General features: G+C 41.3%; 1 protein-coding gene across 11 annotated transcripts in view; it reads right to left on the reverse strand.

Annotated features, from left to right (window-relative positions):
* The window catches only part of L2HGDH (L-2-hydroxyglutarate dehydrogenase), a 69,796-nt gene that overhangs the window by 13,936 nt on the left and 43,544 nt on the right, over positions 1 to 12,316 (reverse strand). For all 11 annotated transcript variants that reach the window (NM_001425212.1, NM_024884.3, NM_001425217.1 and 8 more), the window contains 2 exons: positions 11,384 to 11,541; positions 8,989 to 9,120 (listed from right to left, as the gene is read on the reverse strand). In NM_001425212.1, the coding sequence (NP_001412141.1) occupies positions 8,989 to 9,120; positions 11,384 to 11,541 (290 nt within the window). The remainder of the gene's footprint in view (positions 1 to 8,988; positions 9,121 to 11,383; positions 11,542 to 12,316) is intronic.

Consider the following 12,316-nt stretch of genomic DNA (forward strand, 5'->3'; position numbering starts at 1 on the left):
GGTGTGGTGGCACACACCTGTTGTCCTAGCTATTTGGGAGGTTGAGGCAGGAGGATGGCTTGAACCCAGGAGTTCAAGGCTGCAGTGAGCTATGATCACATCACTGCACTCCATTCTAGCCTGGGTGACAGGGCGAGAGCCTGTCTTACAAAAAAAAAAAAAAAATTAAAAGCATTTTTCTAGCACATAGATTTTTTTAAATCCAACCTGATAATCTGTCTTAACTATTAAATACATTTACATTTACTGTAATTACTGATATGCTTGATTTCTACCATATTATTTTATGCTATCTAACCTGATTTTCTAAGGTTTCTATCTCCTCTTTCTTCACTTATTGAGTTTTCTATATTCTTTTTTTCCTTCTCTACTAAATTGGAAATCTATTTCCATCTTGTATTTAGTTTTATTTACTCAGATGGGATGCACTGTACATCTTGAATTTGAGGTCTGTCAATTCTAGAAAATTTTTAAGTATTCTCTCCTCAAAGGATTGCCTCTTCTCAATTTCTCTGTAACACCTATGAGAGATAGGCTGGAATCTTCTCAGTTTTCTTTTCCATGTCTTATTTTATTTTATTTTTGAGACGGAGTCTCACTCTGTCACTCAGGCTGGGGTACAATGGTGTCATCTCAGCTCACTGCAACCTCTGCCTCGCAGGTTCAAGTGATTCTCCTGCCTCAGCCTCCCAAGTAGCTGGGATTACAGGTGCCCACCACAGCTAGTTTTTGTATTTTTAGTAAAGACGGGGTTTTGCCATGTTGGCTAGGCTGATCTTAAACTCCTAACCTCAGGTAATCCACCCTCCATGGCCTGGCAAAGTGCTGGGATTACAGGCATGAGCCACTGTGCCCAACCCCATGTCTTTTAATTTCTATGGATACATCTTTATCTTGCAGTATTGCTTTCTAAATTCTTCTGAGTTACCTTCCAATTTGATAATTTCCTCTTAAGGTAGGTCTAACCAGCTGTCTAACCTAGTCATCTGAGGTTTTTCCTTTAATTTTTTTTTTTTTTGAGACAGGGTCTTGCTCTGTTGCCCAGGCTGGAGGGCAGTGGTGTAATCACAGCTCACTGCAGCCTTGACCTCTTAGGCTCAAGCCATCCTCCCTCCTCGGCCTCCAGAGTAGCTGGGACTACAGGTGTGTACCACCATACCTGGTTAATTTTTAAAACTTTTTGTAGAGACAGGATCTTACTATGTTGCCTAGGCTGGTCTTGAACTCCTGGACCCAAACAATCCTCCCACGTTGGCCTCCCAAAGTTCTGGGATTACAGAAGTGGGCCACCAAGCCTAGCCTGAGTTTTAAAATTTAAAAACTATATTTTTATTTCCAGAAATTCTCATTAGGTGGTTTCCAACTAATTTGCCTAGTTCTTTTTTCTTTGGTTTTTTTTTTTCATGTTTTCATTACCTTGTTTTTGATTAATTGAAGCATATTTACTTTACAGTTTCTATTATTACTATTACCCATAGTTGTTGGAAGTCTAATTCTGCCACTTATTTTATCTGCTGACTCTCACTTATGGTGGTTTGTAACTTCTGATTGTGAGTTTCTGTTCAGTACGACTTTATCTGTGGGAATCATCTGGGAGGGGTTGGATTCAGGGTGTGTCCCTCTGCAGTGGTTTTACATTTGCTTCTATTACTATCCTGAGAGCACTTTTTTTTAAATGGAAAATTTTAAACACGTCAAAAAGTTAAAAAAAAAAAAAAAAGAAAAAGAAAGAAAACCAACAGTATAATGAACTCCCATGTATGTATTATCCAGTTGCAACAATTATACACACACAGCCAATCTTGTTTCATCTATGTACCAATCCAACACCAATGTCTCTCCACTGGGTTATTTTATTTTTTTTAGAGACAGGCCTCACTCTGTCACCCAGGCTGGAGTGCAGTGGCACAATCACAACTTACTGCAGCCCTGACCTCCCAGATTCAAGCAATCCTCCCTTCTCAGCCTCCTGAATAGCTGGGACCACAGGTGGACACCACTACACCCAGCTAATTGTTTTTTAAAAATATTTTTTTAGAGACAAGGTCTCACTATATTGCCCAGGCTGGCCTCAAACTCTTGGGCCCAAGCAATTCTCCCATCTCAGTCTCCCAAAGTGCTGGGATTATAGGTGTCAGCCACCACGCCCAGTCTTATTTTTTGAGACAGGGTCTTGCTCTGTCACCCAGGCTGGAGTGCACTGGCATGATCATAGCTCACTATAGCCTTTAACTCCTGGGCTCAAGCAATCCTCCTGCCTCAGCTTCCAGAGTAGGTGGGACTACAGGAACATGCCACCACACCCAGCTAGTTTTTAAATTTTTGGTATAGATGGGGTCTTGCTATATTGTCCAGGCTGGTTTGGAACTCCTAGCCTCAAGAATCCTCCTGATTCAGCCTCCCAAAGTGCTAGGATTGCAGGCGTGAGCCCATGGTGCCTGACCTATTTATTTTAGTATTTTATAATTTTTTATTTAATTTTATTTATTTTTGAGACAGGGTCTCACTGTTGTCCAGACTGGAGTGCAGTGGTGTTATCATGGCTCACTGCTGCCTCGACCACTAGGCTCAAGCAATTCTCTTGCCCCAGCCTCCTGAGTAGTTGGGACTACAGGCATATGCGCACCACCACGCCAGGCTCTTTTTTTTTTTTTTTTTTTTAATTTTTACTAGAGACAAGGTCTCATATTGCCCAGAATGGTCTTGAACTCCTCAGGTCAAACAATCCTGCCTCAGCCACCCAAAGTGCTAGGATTAAAGGCAGGAGCCACTGAGCCCAACCATATTTTATTATTTTTTAGACATGTTGTCTTGCTAAGCTGGATTAAAACTCCTGGGCTCAGGCAATCCTCCTACCTCAGCCTCCCAAGTAGCTAGGACTATATGCATGAGCCACAACACCCCCACTGAATTATTTTAAAGCAAATCCCAGATGGCATACCACTTCACTTCAATGTGTATTTGTTTTCTTTTCTTTCTGTTTTTTTTCTTTTTCGGTTTTTTTTTTTTTTTTTTCAGAAATGGGGTCTCACTATGTCACCTGGGCTGATCTCACTATGTTGCCAAGGCTGCCCAAGCAATCCACCCACCTCGGCCTCTCAAAGTGCTGAGATTACAGGCATGAGCCACCCCGCCCGGCCTCAATGTGTATTTCTTTTAAAAAGATTCTTAAAAATTATCCAGGTGCAGTGGCTCACACCTGTAATCTCAGCACTTTGGGAGGCCAAGGCGGGTAGATCACTTGAGGTCAGGAGTCCAGACCAGCATGGCCAACATAGTAAAATCCCATCTCTACTAAAAATAGGGAAAAAAAAATCAGCCAGCCATGGTGGCACATGCCTGTAATCCCAGCTACTCAGGAGGCTGAGGCAGGAGAGTCACCTGAACCCGGGAAGCAGAGGTTGCAGTGAGCTGAGACTGCGCCACTGCACTCCAGCCTGGGAGACAGAGCGAGACTCTTAAAAAAAAAATTCTTAAAAATAATTATAAACCAATAATTGCTTAGTGTCAGTAGTCATTTTGTGGTCAAATTATCTGATTTTTAGTCTCTCTAATTTACTTGAATTAGAGGGGGTGGGGAGGGGAGGGAGGGAGAAAGAAGGAGAGAGAAGAAGACAGAGAGAGAGAGAGAGAGAGAGAGAGATTGATTGAAGCAGGATCCAAAAATGTCTGGCTCTACTTTTTCAGTTAATTTGTTAGCTTACAGTTCCTAAACCAAGCTGGTGGTATACGTTCAAAATCTAAGCACTTTGAGGGATTCTAGATTTTGGGGAAGATTCCTCCCACTCCCCATCCCCAAGACCAAGATAGACAAAGTTCCTTAATACTTCCCAGTGCCAAGGGGAATATTTTTTTTCCAGACTTCCTTTCTTCTGAGGGTATAGCCTTTCAAGAGCCCCTAGGGGGCCTTACATTAGAGTCTGAGTTCCAACTTTCTACCTTGTATAGACCCAAGATTTCTTTTTCAGCACTTGAGTGGCAATTAAAATACAAGTCCCTAATGTCCTATATCTTGTTCTGACTGGTGGATATGGTTTGTACAATTATCGAAATTTACTAAGCATTTAAGATCTACATATTTTATACGTTGAGTCACACATAAATTACAAATATAACTCAAGCCCCTCAGTTATTAAAATTAGCAAACCATCCCCACCTCTCCAAGTCAGCATCAGCACCAACTCCTTTTAGTATGAATTTTAATTTTCTTTCTGTTTTTTGCTCTGGGATGCCCCTTACTTTCCCTTACTCTCAGCTATATGTATTTCAAGGATGTTTATCATATTTCCTCCAGACTCTTATTACTATTTTGTAGTGTGAAGGTTACCAAATTCTCTACACTAGTGGTTCTCAACCAAAGGAGATTTTGCCCCCTACAGGACATCTGGCAATGTCGACATATTTTTGGTTGCCACAATTAGGAGAATGAGTAGAGGCTGGGGATGCTGTTAAACATTCTACAATGGCTGGGCACGGTAGCTCACACCTGTAATCCTAGCACTTTGGGAGGCCAAGGCGGGTGGATTACCTGAGGTCAGGACTTTGAGACCAGCCAGGCCAACATGGTGAAACCCCATCTCTACTAAAAATACAAAAAATTAGCCGGGTGTGGTGGCAGGCGCCTGTAATCCCAGCTGCTCAGAAGGCTAAGTCAGGAGAATCGCTTGAACCCGGGAGGCAGAGGTTGCAGTGAGCCGAGATGGCACCACTGCACTACAGCCCAGGTAACACTGTGAGACTCCGTCTAAAAAAAAAAAAAATTATACAATGAACTGGACACTCCTCCACAATAAATAATTATTTGGCTCAATATGTCAATAGCATCAAGACTGAGAAACCCTAATCTAGATCACCATAAGCCATTACAACTTTATTGTAGAAATGTTTGAGTTTTGCACCTTTGTGTTTCACACACTCTAGTTATCACTTGCTATGAAAACATCTTGCCTGAAAGTTTACTCTAGAATTCCCCACAGAAGACATTTTCCAAATTGAAAATGGGGAAATTGTGACATATATGTCTTCGTCTTTTACATCTTTACAGTGCTAACAGATACAAACTGCTGTTAGATTAACATGTCAAAATTAATCACAGAACAAATTTTTAAAGTTTAGAGCTATATATATATTTGAGACAGGGTCTTGTTCTCTCCACCAGGCTGGAGGACAGTAGTGCAATAATGGCTAACTGTAGCTTCAGCATCCTGGGCTCAAGGGATCTTGCCACTTAAGCCTCTCTAGTAGCTACAACTATAGGCGTGCACCACCTGCCCAGCTAATTAAAAAAAAAAAATTGTAGAGATGGCATCTCACTATATTGCCCAGGCTGGTCTCAAACTCCTGGGCTCAAGCGATCCTCCCACCTCAGCCTCCCAAAGCACTAGGATTACAGGCATGAGCCACTGTGCCTGGCCTAGAGCTAACATTAAGAGTCTTAGAGACCATCATTTAACAATGAGAAGTTTATCTAATGCAAATATTTAACAGATTGTAACTTTATATTCCAATCTCATGTTCACCAGTAAATTATTGCCCAAAATGCTCTGGCTAAGCAATGAGAAGTCAACCTGGGTGCCCTTCAGTGGTTAATGAAATTTAAGGACACCATCCTGGGAAACACACCCCACTGAAAGTGTTGCTTCAACTATATTTTACTATTTACTAATGCCTGATGTGCTTTCACTGCAATACTAAGGGCATTTATGGTTTAGTATACTGGTTGCAAGACAAAGGAGACAAGGCAGGACTTAGGCTTCAAGCTGTGGAAAAGTCTATTGATCTTGGCCAGGCGCATTGGCTCACCCCTGTAATCCCAGCACTTTGGGAGGCCAAGGCAGGAGGATCATGAGGTCAGGAGATTGAGACCATCCTGGCTCTCTATGAAACCCTGTCTCTATTAAAAATACAAAAATTAGCTGGGCATGGTGGCACGTGCCTGTAATCCCAGCTACTCGGGAGGCTGAGGCAGGAGAATCGCCTGAACCAGGGAGTCGGAGGTTGTAGTAAGCCGACATTGTACCACTGCACTCCAGCCTAGCAACAGACCGAGACTCTGTCTCAAAAAAAAAAAAAAAAAGTCTATTGATCTTATTTTTATTATTTAATATTTCAGGCTATCACAAGGAAGAGAGACTAACACAATGAATACCCATTTTTTTATCTAACAGCTTAAGAAACAAAGCATTACCGATATGATAGAAGCCTCTGTAGAACTCTCAAGATCCCATTCTCTTCCCTCACCAGAGGTAACCACTCTCCTGAATTAGGTGTTTATCACTCCCCTGCTCATTTTTATTTTCATACTACATGTATAATCCGTAAGCAATATATGGTTTTGCTATACTTGTTTTAAAACTTATACAAATGGTATCAAACGTATCTTCCCCCGAGAAACCCAAAAACATATCTTCTACAGCTTCCTTTTTGTTATTAATAATTTCCTGCACTTAATAACTATAGGAATCAAGAGACGAAGCAAATGGAATTGCTGAATTAGTTAGCTTTTCTCTCTTTAAAGAGGAACTCATCTGTGATTGGGTTGAATTTGTCCCCAAATGCACCTGCCTGCAGTGCTGTGCCCTTTTCTACTACATGCCAATGAAATTGGTAACAGAAATTCACACCCTTACACCCAGAGACAGGAGAGTTCACTAATAACCACAAGCCCGAAGTCCAGTTCTACCATATGAAATCCAGTGGTCTAAAAAGTTTTCCTCAGGCTTCTATAAAGGGTGGTAACTGAATACAGGCAGTGAATTCACTGCAACTATTTTTATACAGAATTCACTATGCTCACCTCGTTTGTTTTCCAAGGAATATCAATAGCAGTAATAGAAACCAGATTTGACCAGTCTATTTTCAGATATAAAACATCACAAGTTTGCTAAAGCAGATCACTGAAAACATAAAAGCCCTTACTTATAAGTGAGTGAAAGAAAATAATGGCTAGATATTTTTATCCCTTCTATTTCAGAAGGTGAGTAGAGGAGTGAAAGAGATAAGAGGAAAAACGTTAGCTGAGTTTTAATCTTCTAAGGATTCAAACATGCTGGTCTCAGAATGATACATTACAGTCAGATTTAAACGAGGACGCTCCCCTAAGAGAGACAGCTGACATGATTATTGCTCTCTACACAGATACACAGTCAAGCCTGCTGACATTTTTTACCAGGCTAGTTCAGCAGCTGTTGCAGAGAAAGCAGATATCTAGTGCTAAGAAAATTCATGGAGGGATGGATTGTAAATGGAGGGTGAGAGTACCTCAAAGTACACTGCTGATTAGGCCTAACGAATGGCTTGCTCAGGAAAAAAGGTGAACACTAAAAACATTACCAAAGAGGGGAAAAAAATAGGTTTGGGTGGTATTAAGAATAATCTACAGATCAAGTCTAGAAAGCCTTTTATCTTTTTTTTTTTTTTTTGTGAGACGGAGTTTTGCTCTTGTTGCCCAGGCTGGAGTGCAATGGTGTGATCTTGCCTCACTGCAACCTCTGCCTCCCAGGTTCAAGCCATTCTCCTGCTTCTGCCTCCCAAATAGCTGGGATTACAGGCATGTGCCACCATGCCTGGCTAATTTTGTATTTTTAATAGAGACAAGGTTTCTCCATTTTGGTCAGGCTGGTCTCGAACTCCTGACCTCAGGTGATCCACCCGCCTCAGCCTCCCAAGTGCTGGGATTGCAGGTGTGAGCCGCCGTGCCAGTCTTTTATCTTTAAGAATAAAAGATGTGGCTGGGTGCAGTGGCTCACGCCTGTAATCCCAGCACTTTGGGAGGCTGAGGCGTGTGGATCGCCTGAGGTCGGGAGTTTGAGACCCGCCTGGCTAACAGGAGAAACCCTGTCTCTACTAAAAATACAAAATTAGCCGGGCGTGGTGGCACATGCCTGTAATCCCAGCTACTCAGGAGGCTGAGGCAGGGGAATTGCTTGAACCCAGGAGGCAGAGGTTGCAGCGAGCTGAGATGGTGCCATTGCACTCCAGCCTGGACAAGAAGAGCGAAACTCCATTTCAGAAAAAATATAAAAATAAAAGATGCAAGTTGTCCTTACTTTGCCCCACACCCCTGTAGCAAGGACTCTGATTGTTACCACACTGCTTTCCACTTCTATCCTGAAAGTAGAGTCCCTGAGTGCAGTAAGGTCCAAGAAAGAACAAAAGAAGTAGAGAAGAAGCAAGGTGAGATGCCAGGTCTAGGAGTGTGTTTCTAACAGGTTTTAATGGAGCTGGAGGCTATCATCCTTAGCAAACTAACACAAGAACAGAAAACCAAATACCACATGTTCTCACTTATAAGTGGGAGCTAAATGATGAGAACACATGAACACAAAGAAGGAAACAACAGACACTGCAGTCTACTTAAGTGGGGAGGGAGGGAGGAAGGAGAGAAGCAGAAAAGATAACTATTGGGTACTGGGCTTAATATGTGGGTGATAAAATAATATGTACAATAAACCCCATGACATGTGTTTACCTATGTAGAAACCTTCACATGTACCCCAAACCTAAAAGGTTTTTTTTAAGTTTTAAGAATCAATCAAAATATAATGTTTTAATGTGCTTATTACCTAATTAGTTAACATAGTGATCAATAATCTTATACAAAATTAAGGCCAAAAGGCTTTGGAATCACAAGACTAACTGGCCAGAGAGATTTTTAAAAATTCAGGCAAGTTGTTTTTATCAGGAGTGATAGTTAGACAAAAAGGCTAAGGTAGCATCACAATAAAGCTGTCATAGAGATTTCAGATTAGAGCTGTAAGGCAGTCTAGATAATTATAAATGGACCAGCACTAAGGGCCATGATGTAGCAATGCCCAATAAATGCACTGCAAAGGGAATTCAACAACATGTTGGGAAAGAAAGCAAACAAAAATTCAGTGCATATGCAGACTGACTCTGAAATGGTACTTACTAATCACCAAGTCAGACCCACCTCTCAAGTTCACATAGGTCAGGACTGTATTTACACTCCTTATCCCTTTTCCTTACCTAAGTATATCACTGATAGTAATTTCAGGGATGAATTTTTGAAGATACTTCACTGTTGCACCAAGAAAACATGCTTTATACATTTCAGTAACTCCATAGGAAAAATTCTGGGATGCCAGTTTAATCAAGCCACTGAAAACAGAGAAAAAAAATCTTTATGAGAGAAAGGAATTCTTTATTACGTAAAATACCTTTATAATTATTAGATTCTTTTTTTATGTCATCACAAAAATCTAGGCAAAGTCAGAAAAACTACAGATTAAAAGAAAATCAAGGCCAGGAGTGGTGGCTCACGCCTGTAATCCCAACACTTTGGGAGGTCAAGGCGGGCGGAATACTTGAGGTCACGAGTTTGAAACCAGCCTGGCCAACATGGCAAAACACTGTCTCTACCAAAAATACAAAAATTAGACAGGTGTGGTGGTGCACACCTGTAATCCCAGCTAATCAAGAGGCTGAGGCAGGAGAATTGCTTGAACCCAGGAGGCAGAGGTTGCAGTGAGCTGAGATCGTGCCACTGCACTCCAGCCTGGGCGACAGAGAGAGACCCTCTCTCAATCAACCAATCAATCAATGAATCAATGAAAATCAACTTTTGGCCAATATCAGAAGAAAACCTCATCAGCTCAGGAGGTAAACAGAGCTGGGCATGGTGGTGTGTGCCTGTAGTTCCAGCTACTAGGGAGGCTGAAGTGGGAGGCTCGCTTAAGCCCAGGAGTTTGAGGCTGCAGTAACCAATGATTGTGCCACTGCATTTCAGCCTGGGCAACAGTGAAACTTTGACTCAAAAAAAAAAAAAAATACAGAGGTAAACACCCTCTAAACTCAAATTCCCAAGGAGTGCTGGTTTCAAACTGGAACTCTATAAAGCCTGCCAACATCAAGGCTTTCTAATGGAAATATTAGATGCCTTCAACACACCTAAAAGGCAGGGTATGAAAGAAATGGGACATCTACCCTAGATTTCTTTAGTCAGCCAGAGGTAAAATACTTTAGTTGTTTAGGCAGGGTGTAGTGGCTCATGCCTGTAATCCCAGCACTTTGGGAGGCCAAGGCAGGTGGATTGCTTGAGCCCAGGAGTTCGAGACCAGGCTGTGTAACATGGCGAAACCCTGTCTCTACAGAAAACACAAAAATTATCTGGGCATGGTAGCATCTGCCTGTAGTTCCAGCTACTTGGAGGCTGAAGTGGGAGAACTGATTGATCCCAGGAGGTTGAGGCTGCAGTGAGGACAAAGTGAGACCTTGTCTCAAAATTACAAAACAAAAAACCAAAAAAACTTTAGTTGTGATTTTCAAGTGAGACTCTGCAAAGCCTAGATGCACATATGTATATATTTTTACAACTACATGTGCCAGGAAGCTCCATCCTAAACTTTCTGTTTCAGAATCCATAGAGGGTGAAACTCAAGTATAGCTTTAAATCTAGTGATTTAAACAGGAAAATCTAGTGATTTTCATGTGAAACCCTTTAGAGAGAAACATTGGTAAAAGGACCAAACAAAATACCTAATTCAGTATTTCTTACAATAGTAAAGAATCTGCATCTTAGGTCAACACAATCGTATTGTTAGTTTCCTACACAAGGAAATTACTTTGGTCATCAGTAATTTCTCCAGTGGCTTACAAAATGATGGAGACTGGCTCAAAATGATTTTATTAAAATAGCCATCTACTGATTTTGAGAGAATCTATTTCCTCCCCCACCAAATAAAACTGGAAACTTAGCAATACAAGATTTGGATTGCCAGATATATGAATAACTCTTGGCCTTATCTTCTTTTTATTTTTATTTATTTATTTATTTATTTATTTATTTATTTATTTATTTATTCATTTTTTGAGATGGAGTCTTGCTCTGTCGCCCAGGCTGGAGTGCAGTGGCAGCGATCTCAGCTCACTGCAAGCTCTGCCTCCCGGGTTCATGCCATTCTCCTGCCTCAGCCTCCCAAGTAGCTGGGACTACAGGTGCCAGCCACCACGCCTAGCTAATTTTTTGTATTTTTAGTAGAGATGGGGCTTCATCGTGTTAGCCAGGATGGTCTTGATCTCCTGACCTCATGATCCACCTGCCTCGGCCTCCCAGAGTGCTGGGATTACAGGCATGAGCCACTGCGCCCAGCCAGCCTTTTCTTTTTAACCCCAGCTCAACAGAATTTTCTTGAAGTAGTTAAAATGTTATACTTATTCCAAAAGGCATTTTTTTTTTTGTTTGTTTGTTTGTTTGTTTGCTACCCCATCCACTCCAAAGCTTTTAATTTGGATTAATACAACATTCAATATACCAATCACAAATATGGGGATTTACCCAATAAGTAGAGTATCAAGAAAGACAAAACTTCCCACATTGAAAATATAAGCACATAAAATCATTTTTAAAAATAAATAATGTTACCTATTGATAATTATATCCATAACATCTGTGGCACTGAAGTCAAAGGGTCTGTAACCCTCTCGTTTAAAGGCAAGAACTGCATTAGGCCCTAGCCAAATACTGCCATCCATCCTTGGTGTGAAGTGAACTCCTAGGAAAGGAAACCGGCTATCTGGGACCTATAAATTTAACATAGTAAATAACAGCCTCATTTCACATTCCATGTTATCAGAGATGCAAACATTCAATTGGTAACATAAAACACTTTCTTCTCATGCATTTAATTTGTATTGTGAGCTGTACTCAGATATACTTTTCCATTAACATGCTTCTGCTTAGAAATGCACACAAGAAACCCTGATGCTGGCTGGGTGTGGTGGCTCACGCCTGTAATCTCAACACTTTGGGAGGCTGAGGCGTGAGGATCATTTGAGATCTGGAGTTCAAAACCAGCCTGGCCAACATGGTGAAACCCCATCTCTACTAAAAATACAAAAATTAGCCTGGCGTGGTGGTGTGCACCTGTGATCCCAGCTACTTGGGAGGCTGAGGCATGAGAATCACTTAAACCCAGGAGATGGAGGTTGCAATAAGCCAAGATCATGCCACTGCACTCCAGCCTGGGCAACAGAGTGAGAATCTGTCTCAGGAAAAAAAAAAAAAAAAAAAAGAAACTCTGATGCTACTGACACTAATAGATTGTTCCATCTATGCATCTTTCTGGGTAAAGGAAAAAAAAAAGATGAACTGTCTTACTTCAGGCTATTCTCGGTCTTTCACAAGGGATGTCTATGACTGGCAAGTAAAATCAGAGCTGCCAGAAAAAAATACACATTCATAGCACAGGCTTCTGCAAAGTACAAATACATGAGGTTGAAGCAGATGAAATTCATGTTTCGGCAAGCTCAAAAATATCAAATAGCCGAATACTGACTATTTCATCTGGTTCGACCT

This window comes from Homo sapiens, chromosome 14 (assembly GCF_000001405.40).
Source record: "Homo sapiens chromosome 14, GRCh38.p14 Primary Assembly".
Lineage (NCBI taxonomy): Eukaryota > Metazoa > Chordata > Mammalia > Primates > Hominidae > Homo > Homo sapiens.